At 44.6% G+C, this 22,023-nt stretch overlaps 1 protein-coding gene across 11 annotated transcripts in view; it reads left to right on the top strand.

Annotated features, from left to right (window-relative positions):
• The window catches only part of TRANK1 (tetratricopeptide repeat and ankyrin repeat containing 1), a 118,926-nt gene extending 98,179 nt beyond the window's left edge, over positions 1-20,747 (top strand). For 10 of the 11 annotated variants that reach the window (XM_017007570.2, NM_014831.3, XM_047449328.1 and 7 more), the window contains 9 exons: positions 220-366; positions 1,162-1,318; positions 4,856-4,944; positions 8,850-8,953; positions 9,062-9,194; positions 12,659-12,804; positions 13,647-16,693; positions 17,904-18,002; positions 19,191-20,747. In XM_017007570.2, coding sequence (XP_016863059.1) covers positions 220-366; positions 1,162-1,318; positions 4,856-4,944; positions 8,850-8,953; positions 9,062-9,194; positions 12,659-12,804; positions 13,647-16,693; positions 17,904-18,002; positions 19,191-19,291 — 4,023 coding nt within the window. In that variant the 3' untranslated portion in view covers positions 19,292-20,747. Of the gene's footprint in view, positions 1-219; positions 367-1,161; positions 1,319-4,855; positions 4,945-8,849; positions 8,954-9,061; positions 9,195-12,658; positions 12,805-13,646; positions 16,694-17,903; positions 18,003-19,190 lie in introns of those variants that run through there. The other variant, XM_017007573.2, reaches the window with a different exon arrangement.
• The last annotated feature ends 1,276 nt before the right edge of the window (positions 20,748-22,023 follow it).

Raw genomic sequence — 22,023 nt, 5'->3', positions numbered from 1 at the left:
GGTGTAGTGTGTGGGGAATTTTCACAACTTCCCTGATCTCTGCTTGTGCAAGTTAATCTCCCTCCTATCCATTCTAAGATCACAGGATGGATCTTTCTCAAAGTTGGGGTTGAAGGCCTGGTCCCCCGATGAGGCTTAGTTTTCCATGAAGCTCAGGGAGGCTGTATGCGTAGTTCAAAAGCATATTCTGTTGGTCTTCACTTTTTTGTTGTTGTTCAGGCTTATAAGGAATGGAAGATCATTTCCTCATTCACACCTACCTCAACTGACTCCAGAGAGGAAAACCGGCCATTGGTTGAAGTACCCCTGGACAAACCAGGCTCTTCTCAGGGTCGATCTCTCATGGTGAATCCAGAAATGTACAAGGTGAATTTCTGCCATTTGTCAACACATGTACTTGACATGGAAGTAGTGAAAAAGGCTTGGAAGAGAAGATGAGAGGAAAAATGGAGCTTGCACTTGGCTGGTTTTCCTCAGCAACGGGGAATTGAGGATAAGAAAGGAAGGGGCAGGGATCTCAGTTTTGGTAAATTCCATTTTTTTTAGTAGAGAACTGGGCTTGATGGGTGGATACTGTCTGAAAACGGAAGGAGAAGGGTTGTCCTTTCTAGTTCACCTCTGGAACTCAGCTTTGTTCAGAAATTTTGATGCAATCATAAGGTAGGTTTGGAGTAATTCAGTACTAGTGATAGTTATAGTAAAAGTGTATGACTGGTTTAATTTTTAAAAATAAATCACAGCAATTGTGTAAGATGTAATCTTTGGGATAAACTGAGTACACGGGGTCTGTCTGTACTCTTCCAGTGAATCTTCCACTGTAACTTTCAGTGAGTCTATAATTACTTCAGAATTAACTCTTAAAATAATTATAGCAAAAACAGGAAAAAAAATTATGGCTGATTCAAAGGTCATCCTATACAGATGGCATGCTCACTTCCTGCTTAGGTGGGAAAGAGGTGGAGTTTCTCATAGCCTCACTGGAGCCTCACTTACCTGTGCTGTGGCCACAGTGAGCTCCTGGTATCCTGTTCTCAGCTGTGCTATGCTTCTCTAAAATTTAGTTTTTGTGTTTTTCCAAAATTAGAGTAAGCCCATTGAAGTGTGTCACTTTGTAGCTATAGACAAATGGCTCATCATCTTTGTCCTCAATGTTATCTTTAGCTCCTCAACGGAGAGCTGAAGCAGCTGTACACCGCCATCACACGGGCTCGGGTCAACCTCTGGATCTTTGATGAAAACCGAGAGAAACGGGCTCCCGCATTCAAATATTTCATTAGAAGAGATTTTGTCCAAGTTGTAAAGACAGATGAAAATAAAGGTAAGATCCTGTTAAAATACTCTTAACTGATGGAGGAATCGTGTTTCTCTCAACTGTTCTTATGGTCAGGAATAAAAGGTGTGGTATTTTGAAAGTGCTTTCTTTCTTTTCCACAATCTTCTGAGAAATGGAAGTTGTTACACATTTGCCAAGGTGCATGGGAAAGTGTAGCTGTAGTGGGATTGGGAAGGTTAACTCCTTCAGGGAAGATCTTTTATTTGTCCTTTAAAAGTGGGGATTATGGACAGGGCTAGAGGAAATAGGCCCTTTTGGGAGAATACAAAGTGCTATGAGTGTTTGTACAGCTGATTAACAGTATCTATCAAAATAAAGATGGTACATACTTTGACCCAACAGTTCCACTTGTAGGGATATATCTGAGATATTTGTGTTCAAAATCTCAAAGATACCTGCGTAAGTATGCTCATCACAACCCTGTTTGTAGTTACAAGAAACTAAAAACAATCTAAGTGTCCACCAATGAGGGAAAGGCTAAATTCATTTCTTTCAGGGGACTACTATGCAACCATTAAAGAGAAAAAGGATGTGGATTGTCATTTACTGCTAAGGAAAGATGTTCAAGATGTATTGGGTGAAAGATAAATTTAAAACAGTATGGGTAGAATGATATAATTTATAAGTAACTTTATATTATGCAAATATAAAAACTTTATGCATATCAGTATATATCAGAATAGAATGTTTATGCATGCGTATGTATGTATGTGTATATATACAAATACCTACTGAAGTGTCTTTAACCATCAAACCCAATTCATTTCCTGAGTTTGTTTAACAAGAACTGGGTTTGTGAGGGTTCAGCTACTGAGTTAACAGGTTGTCTGAATCTGTTTGGTTTCCGAGTTTCACAAAACAAGGAAACTAAGAGTTCAGACAGTAAGAACTCTTAGTTCAGATAGTAAGAACCGATAGTTCAGATAGTAAGGAATTAATCAGAAAACTTATCTGTATTCAGTTCCTGATTATGGGTAACAAGGGTTTAAATAGCAAGAGTTTGGAGAGATAGCATGCATATAAATTCATGTATACACCTATTATTTCTGTTGCAAAACTGTTTATAGTGATTACCTCTCATGCTAGGATTGGTGGGTATGGGGTTGTCGAGTAGATATGGACACTTTTTACTTTTCACCTTCTTACCTCTGTGCTATTTGCAGGGTTTTTTTTTAATTGTGTATTTTTTTTTCATAATTTGCAAAGGCTACCTAACGAAGTGAAGTTCTCCTGATACGATAACTGAGAAGAGAAATAATCAGCCCTTCATGAAGGAGAAAATTGTTGTCTTTCTTGAGGGTTAGTTGTCAAGTCGTCTCCTCAAGGCTATTGTTCATTTCTATAAGGGTAGAGCAAGGAGCAGAGTTTGGCTGCTGGAGAGAGGTTTGTCCTGAGCATTCCTCAGCCAGTTTGGAGGCTATTTCTGGTTATTACTGATGGCTCGGTTGGCGACTAGGATTAGATTTCTTATCCTAAGACTTGACTATTGTGATGGGAAAAGTCAAAGGCTAGGAGTTAAAAAAACAAAACATAGCTTCTCATAAAAACTTTCTACCTGTGTAATGACATGACCTTGTTCAGGTCCCACCTTCTCTCCCAAAGGAAAATGAGTGGATTGGCCTAGCATGGGCATTCTCAATCTTTCCTTCAGCTCATCCCCCTTTATTCCCCAAGTATGTTCTGGCATCCACTATAAGAGATCATATGGCTGGGCGTGGTGGCTCATGCCTGTAATCCCAGCACTTTGAGGGGCCAAGGTGGGCGGATCACCTGACGTCAGGAGTTCAAGACCAGCCTGACCAACATGGTGAAACCCCATCTCTACTAAAAATACAAAAATTAGCCCGGTGTGGTGGTGCATGCCTGTAGTCCCAGCTACTCAGGAGACTGAGGCAGGAGAATTGCTTGAACCTGGGAGGTGGAGGTTGCAGTAACCCAAGATTGTGCCACTGCACTCCAGCCTGGGTGATAGAGCAAGACTCCATCTTAAAACAAAAAACAAAAAACAAAAAACAAACTAAAAAACCAAAGATCATAGAAGCTAAGTGACTTTTTTAAATTTAAAAATTCAAAATGAAAACAGATCACAATTTATTTTATGTTTTGGCAGCATTAAGAATGCAAGAAAAAGTGCAGTCTTAATTACAAATTTTAAGTTGTACATAGTAAAGTCTTCTAAAGCATCTGTTCCCATTGTGTTTGGATTCAGTATGGTGATTATGTAATTTGTGTTTCTTTTACATGGCATCTGCAGAGTTCACTGGCCCTATTTTGAGATAATATGGATGGGGTTTTGCCGTGGGAATTAAATGTCACAGGGGCACTCATAGCAGCACATACGGAGTCAGAACAAGATGCTAAGTCATCACTGTACTGCTACACAGCACCAGCAGAGGGCGAGCAGGGAGGGATCAGGTTGTGATGCTTAACGTGTTTTTGCACCTTCTAAACAAATCTGACCTGTCTGCCTCACTCCCCTGTTGATATCCATTGGCCTAGGTGTCTCTGATTCCTTCAGCTCTGATTTGTCTGCCAGTATTACCCTGGTATTCACTGTATTTTGTGTGTTTCATGAATCTGTGGCTCAGAACTTGCAGGGATTGTCACCCATTGTCTAGTGATACTCTGGGGGATGCAGGTGGCAGGGTGGGGGTGGGGTGCAGTGCTGAAATAGTCACCAGCAGGCTAGTGAGGATAACAGAAGGGATGGACAGCAGGTGGTGACAATGGTCTCTGTCCACCAATAGGAATGTGTCAGATTACTTATTGTGATGAGGGCAAAGTTTGCACATTTGGAAATAGTGTAAAATTTGTCACCTTTTTTTTCTTGCTGAAGCCCTGGCCTGGGAGCTTGCTAAGAGCCACTTGACTTTGGGTTTTCAAGGAGGAATTTTTAATTTCTGTCTTCTGATTTGTAGCCATAGAATAGGAAAGTAGACCAAAACTTAAAAACCAAACCACATCCTTTCTCCCCTCTACCTCCTCCTTTCAATAACCTCACAAATGTGGTTTGGTAAGTTAAAATATATCTTACATGAATACTAGAAAGACAACACAGGTCAGTCTGCTCTGACTGCCATAACAGAATACTACAGACTAGATGGCCTAAACAACAGAGATGTATTTTCTCACAGTTCTGAAGGCTAGAAGTCCAAGATCAAGGTGTTGGCAGGGTTGGTTTCTTCTGAGGCCTCTCTCCTTGGTTTGCAGCCAGCCACTCTGTGTCCTCACGTGGTCTTTCCTCTGTGCTCTCTTGCCCCTGGGGTCGCCCCGTGTTCTAATTTCTTCTAAGGACACCAGTGAGATTGGATGAGGGGCCATCCTAATGGCCTCATTTTAACCTAGTCACCTCTGTAAAGGCCCTATCTCTCTCCAAATGCAGCCACATTCTGAGGTACCGGGAGTTAGGACTTTAACAAGTGAATTTGATGGCTGGCGGAGGAGATGCAACTCAGCCCATAACAACAGTTTTAAGTGAAAGAAAGCCCAGAGAAGCAAACACACTTTTCTTTCTCATTTTAGACTTTGATGATAGCATGTTCGTTAAGACCTCAACTCCTGCGGAGTGGATTGCACAGGGAGATTACTACGCCAAGCACCAGTGCTGGAAGGTAAGGGGTTGGACTAGGAGGGGTCCTTGTCACTGGTGCCCTCGTCAGACCTCACAGGCAGGTTTCACATCATGGTGTTTGTCACCAGGAAAGGATGAGCGTAATGGTGCTTGTGCCACGTGTTCTGAAACATCAGGTCACCTCAAGATGAGGAGAGCTTCCTGTCCTGCTCCTTTTCTGGTCAGTGCAGGCATGACAACTCTTCATTTTGGCCAAGTGCCAGCATGTGCTGATAGATCATGAAGGGCTATGGCCTTTGCCCCACCAAGGAATCCTTGTATATATTTTCTTTCCCTCCTGTACTCTATGCCTAAAAGCTTTGCTATCATCATACTGCATTTTAAAGCAGTAAAAGATCTTTCATTTGATCTTTCATTTGATTTTTTTCAAATTGATCAAACAGATTTCATTGCCAATCTGAGTCTGGTGAAGATAGGTTAAGGCTTTTTATTACACTGCACTGACCAATTTCCAGTTACAAGCCGTGTTAGTGGTCCTGAGCAGTTTTCTTCCAGGAAGTGTTATCTCTGTAGCAGACCTCTTTACATTTTGAAACCAGGTTAAAGAGCCATGTTGCTTTTCCCAAAGTCAGCATTCCTGCACATCACAGGGTTTTGGGTGGGGCACCATGGCTGGGATGTGTGTCTCCCTTGAAATAGTGGTGATGACTTCACCTGCAAGTTTTAAACACCCTACTAAAAGAGTGCTTTTTTTTTTTTGCTTTAATCTAATAACAACAAGTCAGGTCTTAGGGTTGGTTCTGCAGTTCAACAAAGTCAACATGGGCCCAGTCTCATTCCATCTCTTCCCTGTGTCATCTGCAGCTTGTCTGAGATGTTCCCTTTCATTGGTTGCCTAATGGCTCCTGTGGCAGTTCCAAGTGCTCCGTTCCCTCAGCAGAATTCCAAGCAGGAATGAAGTGCAGGCACTTTCTTCTCATTGATCTCTCTATTTTTTTTATCATGAAGTCCTCAGTGGTCTTCCTTCTATATCTCATTGGTCAGTACTAGGTCACATACACCTTCCTAGCTGCAAGAGAGTCTGGGAGAGCAATCCCATCTGGCAGTTTTAACCTTTTGTGGGTGGTAAGTTCTGCCAAAAGGCAAGAAAGAGAGGAGGAACTGCTGTGGGTAACTAACAGCAGTGTCTGACACCACAGGCATGACCATACCAAATGCTCATTTCCCTAAGATTTCTCTACCCCAGGCACCTGGAGTTCCGCATGCATGCAGCTGCAGATGATGTTTTCTGAAACAACAACTGGATCTGGGTTTTGGAAAGATCACCATCTTTCTTTCTACACCTCAGTGTTCATGTTAGGAGGCTCCAGCTCCTCAAATGTTACAGGAAAAGTATCTGCACTTTCTCTTGCCGCTTTGGAACAAATGTTTTGCAACAGTGTTTTCTATGGAGGGCTTGTCCTGCTTCTCTAATGATCCTTCTTCTCATTGGAATTTCATGGAGTTGGGCCTGAGTAAAGGTTCTGGGAAGTGATGAGGACAATGAAATCACAAGTTCAGGACTTAACAGAAGCCACAGTGTGAGGTATCTGTGATCTGACATGCCTGGAGAAGGAATTTCCAATGTTTTCTCAGCTCCAGTTCTTCGAAGAGTTTTGTCTATTGTTTCAGGGAAATTGCTTTAAGTCTGTAGCATATAACTTACATCTGGGATTTATCAGTTACTTCTTGCTGCATAACAATCCTGAAACATAGTGGCTTAACACAAGTCATTTATGTGGCTCACAGTTCTAAGGATTGGCAGTGCTGAGTTCATCTGAGTGGTTCTGTGCTCAGCTGAGCACCTCATGTGTCTGCAGTCAGCTGGGCATGTCTGCTTCTGGGGGTTGGCTGGCTCTTGGCTCAGGGGACCGGGGGGACAGGGGTGACTGGGGTTCCTGGATCACATTTCTTTCCTCCTCCAGCAGGCTAGTCTGGGTTTGTTCACGTGATGCCTGAGCAGGGTTCAAAGAACGTGAACAGAAGCACACAAGGCCCCTTGAGGCCTGGCCTTGGAACTGGCCCAGTGCCGCTTCTGCTGAATTCTGTTGCCAAAGCAAGTCTCAGCCTAGATTGGACGGGAGGGTAAATAGGCAGGACTCTTGATGGGAGAAGCTGGAAAGTTACACTGTAAGGGGGTGTGGACAGATACAGGGAGGAGTTAAGAACTGTGGCCACCCTGGCAATGTATTATATGGGGTGAAAAGTACAATTTATGCTATTGTAGGTTTGGGTAGGTCTGGAAAGTATTTTCCTAAGTATGTAGTATTTAGCTGCAGAAGTTGACCAAGCCTCACAATTTTCTTCACTGCCCATCCTTGTTAGAATTGGAAAGAAACACTGAATGTTTGGCCGTTGTTATGAAACCAAGAATTTTTTTTTTTTTTTTGGTGGGGCAGGGGTTAGGTGTTAGGGAGGGAAGGGAGGGATAATATGGGCAGCAGGTATGGGTCTGAAATTGGAAAACTATATAAAATCTTACCCTTTATTCCCTTCAGAACACTGTTGCTGTTACCCATATGTGTTGCCCATGGATATCCAATTATTTATCGCTTTAAAAATACCTTTTGAATATTTGAATCTAAAATCTTTTTAGGGGAACTGGCACAGATGAGAATGTTATAAAAAGCCTTCTCTTCACCTGACTTTATTTTGACCCTGCTAAAGGACTTCAGGACTCAGGTGGTTTATTGAGTTTTTGGCTGCATGTCAATAAATGTTTCAGAACCACCACAGAAGATTCATTCATTCAACAAAAAGGGTTTTTAGAATGCCCCTTTTCTTTCTCTATGTTCCTAGTCTTCAGCAGCTATGGGCCAAGCATTATATTTAGATCCCAGGAATCTGATGGTAAGCAAAACAGGCATATAGACCAATGCACAGCTGCAGCTGTTGCAGGTGTCACAGATGAGAGACCAGCTGCTCCCAGAACCAACTGTCCTGGAAATAGAGGCGTGGGAACCCTTCTTTGAGGAACATAGCCTTGAACTGAAACCTGTAGAATGAATGAAGTTAACAAGACAGGGAAAGGACCGAAGAGCATTTCAGTTAGAAGGAACAGTGTGTGCAAAGGCCCTGCAATGGGAAGGAAATGGCACAGGTCACGGGAATGAAAGGAGACCCACACAGATAGCATGAAGGGGAGAGTGATCATCCTGTCCACCTTATCAGCATGTGCCACTTAGTCCCTCCCTTGCCCACACTGAGACCTAATGTGTACATGCTGGGCAGAATGTGAACTTCCTGCCCATGTATTGTGTGCTTTGAGACATAGCATCAGCACCCCTGTTTTAGAAAAGCAGCTTTCTGCTGGCAAAGATCAGAGTGAAGCCTGACTCCTCTGTGACATTTGTTTGCCTACCTTATAGTCAGAGGATTTGGTAACAGATCTGCATGCCCCAGGGATCTGGATGTGTTGTGATACCATCTTTATCCCCATTTCTACCTCCAGTACGTGTACTCCAGCTGTTCTGCCAACACTGCAAAGTAGCTGTTGTACTCACCAACTGGGTCAAAGCCCAGAAGAGCCACTGGGTAACTTTGGGCCAGTTGCTCCATGGCTCTGACCTGAAGTAGCAACTATATACAATGAGAAGGATGATACTTATTGCTGTGGCTGTTGGAAGATTAAATAAGGGTGTTACTATGGTAGCTTGAAAAAATACATATTCTGTACCTTTTCGACGGGTGCTTCCAAAAGATACCACTGAATGTGAATACTGTTGGGTTTTATCCTCCAAGACTACTTTCTTTAGAATATCTGCACCTTCCTGCTCCTCCTTCTCAGATTGGGCTGGAGCAAGACTTCATGTTTTGTCAGTACAAACTTATAATGCATGCTTTAACCGTTGTTCTGTCTGTTACCTCCATTACCTTGCTGGGAATAAAACTTTTTGCCTATTCCAGGTTGCAGCCAAGTGTTACCAGAAAGGAGGTGCATTTGAGAAGGAGAAGTTGGCCCTGGCCCATGACACTGCCCTGAGCATGAAATCCAAGAAAGTCAGCCCCAAGTAAGAGTCTTGGGATCACTTCTGGTTTGCTCCGATGGGAGTAGCAGGTTAAATATTGGTGTAGGGTCAATGTTCCGTGGAAATATTATTTTGTTTTCCTTCCCCTAGGGAAAAGCAGTTGGAATATTTGGAATTGGCTAAGACCTATTTGGAGTGCAAAGAGCCAACACTGTCCCTTAAGTGTCTGAGCTATGCCAAGGAGTTCCAGCTCTCTGCCCAGCTGTGCGAGAGGCTGGGAAAGGTATGGCTCCTAGTCCGCTGCTGCTCCAGGGAAAACTGGGCTTCACTTGAGCAGATTGAGGGGTAGGCTCGACCTCTACTCATAGCAGGAAGAGGCTGCAGTCTTCCAAGGAGGGAGACACTGGCCCTGCGACTCTAAGGGAAGCCTACTTTCACTACTTGGGCAAACTTTGAGGAGGCTCTGAAGACAGTATGCATGTGCGTGTGTGTGTGTGTGTTTGTGTGTTAATGTCTGTGTTAATATTCAGGGCCTAATATTAACCACAGGGAAGCCAAATGCTCAAGCCAAAGGGCAGAAGGGTTTTAGAATACCCCTTTTCTTTCTCTGTGTTCCTAGTCTTCAGTCACCTTGGCTGAGTGGCCTGGCATTTAGATGGAGGTTCCTCGGCTGTGTTCCTAGTAATCACTCTAGATCTGCACTATCCAATTCAGCAGTCACATGTAGCTATTTAATTTACAATTTAAATTAATTAAAATATAATAATATTAAAAATTCACATCCTCAGTCTTACTAGCCACAATGGCAAGTGCTCATTGTTAACAGAACATTTCCATCATTGCAGAAAGCTCTGTTGGACAGAGCTGCTAGTCTGGAACACAGCTACTCACAGAGTGGTCAGCAGGCTACAAACTATTATTTGTCTGCAGCAAGATTAACACAGAAGATAAAAGTAAGCAGAATTTTTTTATTGCCATTTGGCATTGCTTTGACATCCAAGTGGTGATAATCTTCCCATCAATTCATTTTTTAACATATCAACTGTGATGGATCGGAAATTTAAAATGATTTGGTCCCTTACCACAGGTAGTTGGAGAAACTGTGCTTAAGGAGCTGTGGGCCATTGCATTTTCCCCTATCAGGTGTCAATATCCTTCAGTAGGAAAGGGGGTTTTCTTGTCTGTATGTGAAATATGGTGACTCATGGGATCCTCAGAGCACCCTGGGCATTGAGAGGGGTAGGAGTGGGACCTACTGGGAAGTTTGAAGTGTGGCCCCAAGTCAATGCGAAGAAGAGGATAAGGCCCTCCAGATGCTGCCTACCCTGTTCCATGTTTATTATGGGATGTGACTTCTTAAGATGTGGGAGAAGGGAATGGAACAGGGATACAACGCTGCTCTCTAGAGGCAAGAAGCAGGCAAGGCACAGGAATCCCTGAAAGGAAAGCTTTCACTCTTGTGGCACCTGCATAAACATTTCTTTCCGTGGATAGAATGCATTTGGGAACTGGGAAAAGGCAGGTGATGGATCCTGAGGATCCAGAAGAAGGCTGCTGCCAAGTTGGTTGATTTGAACCTTGCTAGTCAGTTTGGGTGAGATGACCACAAGAAATGGTAAATGAGTAAGAGAAAGTGGCAGGGCCAGATCAGTAGGGCCTTGGTGACTGTGGCAAGGACTGGGCTTTGTTCAAGCATGATGGGAAGCCAGTGGAAGACTTTGATGGGAAGACTGACATGAAGCTAATTATCTGGATGCTCTGTGAAGAGGTCTATAGGGCAGCAAGAGCTGAAGCAGAAAGGCCAGTTAGAGTCTAGCATCAGCTTAGGCTGAAATGATAGGGCCTGGACTACCATGGTGGTGGTGGAAGTGGTGGGATGGTGGCATATCTGGGAAATGTTAGGGAAACCGAGCAGACAGGATTAGCTGGTGAACTGGATGGGAGCTGTGATAGGAAGAAGAGTCTCGTAGACTCTTCTGTTCATGGCAAGCCCACCATTGGTGGGTATGGGGCCCAATCATTGCATGTTATTTTGTTTATCCTCTTCTTCACAACCAGTTTCCATTCTCATTCTTTTCTCATTGGTAGTCATTCTAATACATTTTTATATGTGCTCAAATGCATGCATTATTGAAAAATGAATAGTGGTGTCTTCTATACATATATATATACTTTAGGCTTATCTAGAAGACATCTTTCTCTGTGTTTTACCTTTTCCGTCCCTTGCTATATAGTGTTAGGTCTGGCCATGCTTCTGACAGCCATGTATTCCTGAGTGGGCATTGACTGCATTGATGAATTCATTTCCCTGTGAGGCACTTCCAGGTTGCCACTGGCTCCTGGCTCCCACACATAGCACCTTGGCACAGTATGTCTTTTTAGGGTTCTGTGAGATACTTCTTCAAGATGTATTGCCAGGAGCAGGCTTGCTGGCCTAGGGTATGCACATGCTTCACTTCACTAAGTACAGTCCCTTCGCTTTCTGGGATAGCCATTCCACTTTGTGCATGAGGGTTCTGCATTCCCCACATTCTTGACCACAGTCAGCAGATTGTGATTTTCTAATTTTTCAAACCTGGTGGATGTATTTCACTGTGGCTTTAATTTGTATTCTTCTGATTGTCAGTAAAGTTGAGCATTTTTATTTATTTGTTAGTCATTCAAGTTTACCCCACTGTAAACTGCCAGCTTATATCCTTTGCCTAGCTTTCTGTTGTGTCTCGAGGAAAGTCTTTTTCTTGTGGTTGCAAGAGTTCTTTTTGTCTAGACAGGCCCAGTCTAGTACAGTAGCCATTAGCCATGTGTGACTCTTTAACTTTAAAATAATTAAAATTAAATTAATTTAAAAGTTCAGTTCCTTGGTTGCATTACCCACATTTTAAAGGCCCAACATTCAGATGTGACTAGTGGTGAGATTGGATAGCAAAGAAACAATACATTTTCGTCTTCACAGAAACTTCTATTGGACAGTACTGATCTAGGTGTTATTTTTTTAAAAGTTAGCTTATTTCATGTGTCTTTTGTTGAGCAGTTTTGATGTATCAGTTTGATCCATCAGTTTTTCTCCTGAAATTTGTGTTTTGGGTTTTGTTGATTATGTTATTTTTGGAAGTTACGTGAAGACTCCTTCCACTTGAGTGTGACCTCAAGGTCACAAAGATATTCTCACATATTTTCCCACAGTAGTTTCCACATTTAGATCTTTAATCTACCTGGGGCTTACCTCTGTGTGTGCTGTGAGGTTGGGATTTAACTTTATTTTTCTCCCCTTAAATAATTGGTTTTCCTAACATTATCTATGTTACAGGGTTTTTTTTTTTTTTTTTTTTTTTTTTTGAGACGGAGTCTCGCTCTGTCGCCCAGGCTGGAGTGCAGTGGCGGGATCTCGGCTCACTGCAAGCTCCGCCTCCCGGGTTCACGCCATTCTCCTGCCTCAGCCTCCCAAGTAGCTGGGACTACAGGCGCCCGCCACTACGCCCGGCTAATTTTTTGTATTTTTAGTAGAGACGGGGTTTCACCGTTTTAGCCGGGATGGTCTCAATCTCCTGACCTCGTGATCCGCCCGCCTCGGCCTCCCAAAGTGCTGGGATTACAGGCGTGAGCCACCACGCCCGGCCTAGGGTTTTTAACTGGATTCTAACAGAAAGCAGACATATGACTATCCTCTTTATTACTTGTGGTATTGGTTTAAGATTAGAAAGTTAATCATGAGTACTCTAAATAAAAGTAAAATTTACTCCATCCTAGATAAGAGATGCTGCCTATTTCTATAAGCGAAGCCAGTGCTACAAAGACGCTTTCAGATGCTTTGAGCAGATTCAGGAATTTGATCTAGCACTCAAAATGTACTGCCAAGAGGAGCTTTTTGAAGAAGCTGCTATTGCAGTGGAAAAGTAGGTGGTTTTATTCTCTCCCTTTCTCCCTCTCTTCCTCCCACTTCTCTCTGGGGGCAGCCTGCTCTGGGTGGTGCTATCCTGCTGCTTCTGACATGGTTTGACCACATTGCTCCCTTTCCACTTAAGCGATGGCCTCAGTGCTGGGTCAGCAGCTCTTTGAGAGCAGGACTCTATTTTCCAGTCTCTTTATAAGCTTTGATGCAGTGTCACAAAGAGAGGGGGCTGAGGGGGATGGGAGTATGTTATGAGTGTGTATATAATGACGTATTCTGACTTCCATCAGCAGAATAAAGGGGAGTCCTTCAGAGCCTCATTAATCTCACAGGAACCCAACTAATGCACACCTGCTAAAAGAGAAGAATCACAAGTTGGGTAATAAGGGGAAGACTGGTGTAATTGCTGATGCATGTGCAGCCCCCATTTCATCCTTTCTCATTTTATCAAACTGAACAGAGTTGTAGACCCAGATGATTATGATGCTTTTATGAGAACCAAAGAGATGTTTTTCAAGGATAATTTAGACTATGCATAACATTTGCCCTATAGATTGACTTTTGGATTTCACTCCCACTTGTTTGAGTTACACCTCCACTATATTTCATTAATTAAGCACACCAATTCCTGATTGAAGCATAAGGAATTTATTCATTATTATTATACTGGTAACAGTGTAAAATAAGGCCTTTGTAAAAATACTTGAATGCTTGACAAGTTTAGGTTTTATTTTGTAATATCTACATGTGGGAGTTTTATTTAAGTTGCTCTGCACTGTATTTTGGAGGAAATTTTCTATTGATTGGGTGATGGCAAGTTGACATTTGTGTCCTTTGTCTTTGCAGGTATGAAGAAATGCTAAAGACTAAGACCCTTCCCATTTCCAAGCTCTCCTATTCTGCCAGTCAGTTTTACTTGGAAGCTGCAGCAAAGTATCTGAGTGCAAATAAGATGAAGGAAATGATGGCTGTCCTCTCAAAGCTAGACATAGAAGACCAGCTGGTGTTCTTGAAGTCTCGGAAACGCTTAGCAGAAGCTGCAGACCTGCTGAACAGGGAAGGTAGGAGAGAAGAGGCTGCCCTGCTGATGAAGCAACATGGCTGCCTCCTGGAGGCTGCCAGGCTCACTGCCGACAAGGACTTCCAGGCCTCATGTCTGCTGGGGGCCGCCCGCCTCAATGTGGCCAGGGATTCCGACATAGAACACACCAAGGACATTCTGAGAGAAGCACTTGATATCTGCTATCAAACTGGCCAGTTGTCTGGCATTGCGGAGGCCCACTTCCTGCAAGGGGTAATCCTGAGAGACTTTCAGAAGCTCAGGGATGCCTTCTTCAAGTTTGACACGCTCAACCACTCAGCTGGAGTGGTGGAAGCACTCTACGAAGCAGCCAGCCAGTGTGAGGCCGAGCCTGAGAAGATTCTGGGCCTGGCTCCAGGGGGCTTGGAAATCCTCCTCAGTCTGGTCAGGGCTCTCAAAAGAGTGACCAACAATGCTGAGAAGGAAATGGTCAAATCTTGCTTTGAGTTTTTTGGGATTTCCCAGGTGGATGCCAAGTATTGCCAGATAGCTCAGAATGACCCTGGGCCCATATTAAGAATAATTTTTGACCTGGATTTGAACTTGAGAGAGAAAAAAACAAAAGATCATTTTTTGATAATGACTGACCAAGTGAAATTAGCCCTAAACAAACACCTTTTGGGCAGGCTGTGTCAGATCACACGGAGCCTGCTTGGGAAGACCTACCGAGGAGTCTGCATGAGGTTTATTGTAGGCTTAAAATGTGAGGATGAAAACTGTGAACATTTTCACAGGCCTCTGCGGCGTTGTGAAGCCAAGTGTTTAGTTCAGTCGAAAATGAACTTGGTGGCAATCAACGGGTTGCTTTTGGAAGCCAAAAAAGTATTCCCTAAAATCTTAGCAGAAGAACTTAAAGAAATTGATTATATTTTGTCTACAGATATGTATGGCCTTTGCAAGTCCATTCTGGATGTCCTTTTCCCTAAGCATTTCCATCAGAGAGTGTTGTCAGAAAACCCCATGGCATGCAAAGAAATCCTCAAACCAAATTACAAATCCTTCCGGTTCTACAGATTTGCTTTGAAGGAGTACATCCACTTTCTGTTTGAAAATGAAAGCGCACGCAACCGCCGGGAATCCACAGACCTGTGGCTGAGTGCCATGCAAGCTTTCCTTCTCTCTTCCAACTACCCGGAGGAGTTTGAAAAGCTGCTCCACCAGGAGGAGGACAACTACAACAGGGAACTCAAAGCTCTAGAGTCTGAAAAGGATGAAAGGGGCAGGGGGAGAGGCAGCAGGATAAAAGGAATAGAAGGGAAATTTGGCATGCTGGCACCCAACAGGGATGATGAAAATATGGACAAGACCCACCTGTGCTTCATCCGGCTTCTGGAGAATTGCATTGATCAATTCTACGTGTACAGGAACCCAGAAGACTACAAGAGGCTCTTTTTCCGTTTCATGAATGTCCTCATCAAGAGGTGCAAAGAACCACTCATCCCCAGCATTGGAAACACAGTAGCCCTCCTGGAGTTCCAGTTCATCCACTGTGGGGTGGTGCTGGCCCGCCTCTGGAAGAATGTCATTCTATGCCTCCCCAAGAGCTACATTGCACTCTTGCACTACTGGGAGTTCCTGTTTAGCAAGAAGGACAAGGAGCTTGGGGATGTGTTCTCCATCATTCAGGAATACAAACCCAAGGACGTGACAAGAGCCATTCAGGATTTCCGGTTCCATCTCTCCTACCTCGCCAAGGTGCTATGTGGCTATGAGAATGTGAACTTCAACGTCCTGCTTGATGCCTTCAGTGAAATAGACTATGTGGTCTCGGGTGAGGCTGAGCGGACACTGGTGCTGTGCTTGGTGATGCTAGTGAATGCTGAGGAGATCCTGCAGCCATACTGCAAGCCTCTCCTGTATCGCCACTTCCGGGAGATTGAGTCAAGGCTGCAGCTCATGAGCATGGACTGCCCTGGCCAGGTTCCCGAGAGGCTCCTGAAGGTGGTGAAGCGGGTCTTGGTGGCAGTCAATGTGAAGTCTGTGGCTGAGGCACTGCAGGACCTGCTCTTTGAGCGGGATGAAGAGTACCTAATGGACTGTGACTGGCGGTGGGACCCTGTGCACACCAAAGGGTCCATAGTCCGTGGCCTCTATTATGAGGAGGTCAGACTAAACCGCCTGCTCTGTTTGGACCCTGTGGACTACTTTGCTGAACCTGAGTGTGAGTTTGGCCAGGATGAGATGGATGAACTGGCATTAGAAGACCGAGACCACGTCCTGGCCACCATTCTTTCCCAAAAGCAACGGAAGGCCTCCATACAGCGGAAGTTGAGGAGGGCATGCCTGGTGGTGTCTCTGTGCATCAGTTGGAGGAGAAGAGTGGGCACCCAGATGGAGCGTGTCAGGGAGGAGGCCAGGGAGCCCAGGGCTGGGAACTTCAAAAAGGCAGACGTGGACAGGACCCAGTGTGACCTATGTGGAGTGAAGTTTACCCGTGGCCCAGAGAACTATTTCAGCCCCAGCAAAGCGTTTGAGGGGGCAGCTTCCGAGGTGGCAGTCCTTTCCAGGGCTGAGCTGGAAAGGGAGGAGTGTCAGGAGAGGAACAGCGAGTCTTACGAGCAGCATATCCATCTAGAACACCACCAGAGGCAGCAAGTGGCCTACCAGAAATACTCAGAATTTTTCCACGAGAAGGTGGACCCGGCCATTGATGAAGGCAAGCTGGTGGTGCAGGACATCGAGCAAAGTGTATGGATCCACAGTCACGTGGGCTCCAAGGAGCACAGCCACATGCTGCAGAAGGTCCAGGAGCACATCAAGAGGGTTTCGGATATGGTGGAGGACCTCTACAGGCGGAAGGCCTGGGCTGGCGGTAAGGGTCTGCAGAGATGGGGGCCCAGGCAGAGTGAGACCTGGGCTCTGAGGACATTTCTCAGGGTTAAATTCCTTGTCGTGGCTTCTGACTTGGGGATGGTGGAATCTTGGCCTTAGAAGAAATACAAATGAGGAATATATATTCTCAAGTTATAGCGAACCTCATTGGTTGGATTACCCCTCCCCCAGTTAAAAGTTTGTCATTATCCTTGGCTTGGGATGGTTTCCCCAGGTACTCCAGAAACTTGCATGCCTCTTCCTACAGAGGGTTAAAAGCTTGTGTAGAATGAATCGCTTTCTCTCCTGGCAGTCAGAATGATTCTTGCCAGAATAATCTTCTGTGGAGAAGATACAGGGAAAATGTTTAAGGTGTTAAGAAAACTCTTTAAGGTTCTCTTGACCCATTCATCCCCTGACTAAGATCTGGAAGTGTGTAGCTGGTCTAGCTGGTCTCTTCCTTTTAGGAGGGTCTTTAAGTCATACCCAGTGTGAGCCTTTAATAGAATTCTTATGTTATTTTAGAATCAGATTTCCCGTTTTTTTTTTTTTTTAAATAGAGATGGAGTCTCACTGTGTCGCCCAGGCTGGAGTGCAGTGGCGTGATCTTGGCTCACTGCAATCTCCGCTTCCTGGGTTCAAATGATTCACCTGCCTCAGCCTCCCAAGTAGCTGGGATTACAGGTGACTATCACCATGCACAGCTAATTTTTGTATTTTTAGTAAAGATGTGGTTTCACCATGTTGGCCAGGCTGGTCTCAAACTCCTGATCCCAGGTAATCTGCCTGCCTTGGTGTCCCAAGGTGCTGGGATTATAGTTCCTTGGCTTTTTTACTAGCTACTTCTTATCAACACTATGTAGAAGTTATGTATAAACTTAGTGAAATTGCATATTTTAAAATGTTCCATAATTCAGATACTCTTTCCAGTTTAAGGTTTAATGACATTTTGGACACAAGTGTCTTAGAAAGGTTTGCAGTTGTGGCAGTCTCTATAGACAGACAGTAATGGTGTCAGGCTAGCCTTTAGTTGTAGTTTATGCTTGTAGCAGCAGAAGGCAGCTTTGGGTCCCTTACCCGATAAGGAGGGCTCTTTTCAGGGAAAACATAGAGACCAGCTCTTGGGATGTGGGGACTCTGGGTCTAGTAATTGGTGTTCTAGTTCCTGCAATGGCATCTTTACTCAGAGCCATGTTCTTTGGTTTCTGAAGCGGAGGAGGCGATGACTCGGCTGGTCAACATTCTGATCCTGTCAGTCAGGGATGCACGAGACTGGTTGATGAAAACAGAGACCCGCTTAAAGAAGGAAGGTAAGGAGTCTTGATTGTGGGGACAGGTAACACTTTGGGTCCTGTGGTTCTTATTACTGCTGGCTCCCGGGGGGAATCTGAAGTGGGGCAGCCCAGTGATGTCAATAGTGGACTCTCACTGTCTAGGAGCATCACCTCCAGTGACTCAAATTACTAGCAACATAATATCTGAGTTTTCTTATCTGATTATGAGGGCCATTATTCTGGGCACATGTTAGTTGCCATAAACCTCTTGCTGCTCATGAGCTGTTACTGATAATGCTCAGTCACTGCACATACTCAATGCAGTGACTCCCAAGGATGGACAAAGCATTGTGAAGCTATCCCTTGAGAAATGTTTTCCTGTGTCGATCAGTCATTTAAGTCAGTGGATAGTTATTGAGGTTCTAGTACATATTAGTGTTGTTCTGCGCCTGGGGATATACTTCTGAATAAAACAAACAAAATCACTGGGGAAACTTAAATGCTTCTTCCTACAGAGGGTTAAAAGTTTGTGTAGAATGAAGCACTTTCTCTCCTGGCAGTCAGAATGATCTTGCCAAGTTATATGTGATCCAGAATGTTTTTTCTTTTGCCCATTCCAGCCACAGGACCACATTCCTTCTTGCTCTGAGTATTTCATCAACCGCAGATGCCCCTGGAAAATCCAGACCCCAGAGGTGGGGAAAACTTGAAGGGACTTGGCACAAATGTCTGTGCCAATAAAAAATCTTTAGCATTTAGTCCCTTCTGGGGTCTTGGATTTTGTGATGTGTATTTCAAAGGGAAGAGAATTGGTATACCAATTCAAGTGTATGGTTGAGTTTATTTTTTGCTTGATTTCTTTGTTATTTAAAAGGCCTCTAAAATAGGGCAAGAGGAACCAGCCTATAAAGGAACTTAATTCTGGAGAAGGGTGTTTACTTTGACTCTTTTTGGGAGTCATCAGTACTCAAAGGAAATCTCTCTTTCTCTGGAACCCTGGCAGAAAGTTTTATTTCATTAATTTAAACCAATGATTACGGAGACACTAGGTTTTACTAGGATGCTATATTTTACAGTGGATTGGGAAAAAAAATCACCATTCTGCCCTTCCTTCCTTTCTTCCTTCCTCCCTTCCTCCTTTCCTTCCTTCCTTCCTTCCTTCTTTCCTTCCCTCCCTCCCTCCCTTCTTTCCTTCCTTCCTTCCTTCCTTCTTTCTTTCTTCAGGTATTGTTCAGGAAGATGATTATGAAAATGAAGTTGAAGACTTTGGTGAGCTTCGGCCTAGAAGGCGTTCTCGGAAATGTGGAAAGCAGAGAAAATACTAATGTCCACACAGCTGCAGCCTCCTCATCCTTCGGAACATTCCATTCTGACTTAGAATTCTGAGCGCTGGGGCAGAAGACAAAAAGAATGTGAATTAGCATTTTAAAAATAGGGGAGTCTAACAACACCATTGCTTTTTATTCTCATTACTTCTCTTTCAGTGGCTTAGGATCTGATTGCTCCCTCACCTCTAAAGTGTTTCCAAGTAGAGTCTGGCAGTATTAGTTTCCCCCACAAACAAATTCAGGTAGAGAAGTTGTAGTCGAAGGGAATGTTGGGACTCCTCACTGCATGGTCCCTGGGGTGTCTGGCTCATCCCCATCATGACATGAGTTGGTAGCAGAGGACTAGGTGTTAGGACAGACTCTCCTCACCTCAGTTGCTGCTGCTCTGGGCCAGGAAATCTCTCTATGGATTCCCTCATCTCCTGCCACACTGCTGCAGCATCAAGTGTGCTATGAGAGCTGTATGTGCCCAGGGGTGGGCCCTGCCACTGGCCACCCCGAGCCCAGGACGCATTCTGGTCATCTCTGAGCCCACTTGTAGTGTAGCTTCTTCTGTTAGAGATGTTAGCCTTTTCTCTCTGTGGCGACTTTTCTGCCTTCCCTTCTTCTGTTTTTTGTGATCATTCTTAGCTACCTGTGCCAAGTCACAGTTAGACTACCTCAGAATGTAGTCAAGAATTCACCCAGTGTTCTTTGGATGTCCCTTCCCTAGGGGGAAAGGCTGGGGAATGTTGCTGGGAGCATTCCCAGCTGCCTCTCCAAAGTGGTCCTAACTCTGCCTTGGCTATGGTGCAGACATTCCAAAAAGTGTTTTGTATACAGCCCTGTACATCTAGTTTTCTTGGTTCTCCCTGGCAAGTTCGCTACCCTAGCTTAGGCTGACGTTCTGATGAGTCTCTGCTTGCTGAGCTCATCACTGTGGGATGGTGACCTGCAGAGCTGCAGATTGGAGCAAGTGGACAGAGGAGGGAGCCAGCTAAGCCAAATCCGTCACTGCCACTTGGCTGGCAGGCCTTATAAGAGGGCGGATCTGGGCCCGTTTGCAGGAGGCCATTGCCTACCCTCTCCCCACAGTGAGCCAGCAGCCATCAGCTGATCCCACCTGGGAAACCTTCATGCCTCTCTGATGGTTACTGCCCACCCTTACCCCACCCCTCAGCTCAGCCTGGTATGGAAAGCAAGGTGCACGTTGGTCTTTGATTGTTCTGTCCTCACAGCAGAGCCAGCTTTCCCCCCATGTTGCTGCTGCTTTTGCTGCTCATGCTGCTTGTTGTTTTCTCTTCCTTATCTTTCCAAATTGTTTCCTTGAAATGCTTGTTTCCAATTTTTCTTAGATTATGTTTCTAATTTTTATTCCAGGTGTTTTTTTTTCTTACTTGACAGAAAAAAAGAAAACCCCAACAATATCTTGCTGTATTATCACATTTTTTATAAAGTTAAAGCATTTCTCTTACATGCTGCCGTTTTATTTCCAGTCTCTACTCAGAGTAAGGGGGTAAATCTTGGAGCTGGTTCCCCCTGGTCAGCTGATTGATGCTGGCCAGGACAGAAGCTTTCTGTGCCTTCAGAGATTCAGAAATCAAGGGATAGAGAAAAAGCCCAGCCCAGGACTCCCAGCTGGTTGGTGTTCTCGAGGGCCCACCTCGTGCACATTCTTTCCAATCTGGATGCTCCCAAGCATGCACGGTTTGGACAGTAAGGAGTTTTGTCTGTACCATGTACTGGGGCTTTCCCAACAAGGAACATTGCCCTGGAAGGCAGGAGACCTGGAATCAAATTCCTCTCCTGTTCCTAACGAGCTGTGTAATGCCGGGTGAGTCAGGTCTATTCAACCCTGAGCACCTTCATGCCGCACTACGTAGGAGCCTCATGATCTGGTGTAGGAGAGAGATGGAAATGTGAGAAAAGAGTGGTGACAGACATGTGTATTGCATGGGTGGAAAATGCATTTACATAACCCAGCTGGGCCTCAGTTTCCCCTTTTGGGAAAGTGGTGTAAGGTCCCTTCCTGCCTGCTGCAGAGTGGTTCTGTAAGCTGTTGCCATGGTTTTACCTACCCTCCAGTCTTGGTGCTGGGATGCCTGTGTTTGCTTGCATCAGGTGAGCTGGACAGCTCTGAGTCTTAGCAAGCAAAGCACTTGATCTTACCCTTTAAAATTAAAGAGGTTAGAAATGGGACAGGTGATCCTGCTGTCATATCTTTATTAGCACTGTCCAGTAGAACTACCTGAGAGATCCACCCCCAAAAATCTGACTCCTCAACTCATAAAGCTCCTTAGAGTAGGGGCGTGGAGGTTGGGAGAGAAGAATGGAATTCAGCAGAAGAGTCAGTAACTTCCCTTAATGACCAGAATCCTGGGCCCAGTTCAGTAGCAGTGGCTTTGGTGTCTTGGACTTGCCTGGAAGTCCAGGATGGGGGATGTGTATCTGGGATCCCCCAAGACCACCACTCTCAGGCTTGGTAATTCATTAAGAGGGCTCACAGGACTCAGCATGTAGTTGGAGTCATGGCTCTGATTGATTATAGCAAAGTCATACCAAGCACAACTGGCAAAGGGAAAGGCCCATGGGGTCAAGTGTAGGGGATACCAGGTGTAAGCTTCCAGAGCTCCTTTCCAGAGTCACACACAATAGGCTTCATTTCCCAGCAACGAGTTGTGACAATTTGCTGGGTGAAATATGCCAATCTGGGGAGCTCATCAGAGACTCAGAGCTCAGGGTTTCTACTA

This window comes from Homo sapiens, chromosome 3 (genome assembly GCF_000001405.40).
Source record: "Homo sapiens chromosome 3, GRCh38.p14 Primary Assembly".
NCBI classification, from domain to species: Eukaryota; Metazoa; Chordata; class Mammalia; order Primates; family Hominidae; genus Homo; species Homo sapiens.
Note: the sequence above shows the minus strand (reverse complement) of the source record. Positions and strands in the feature narration are given on the sequence as shown.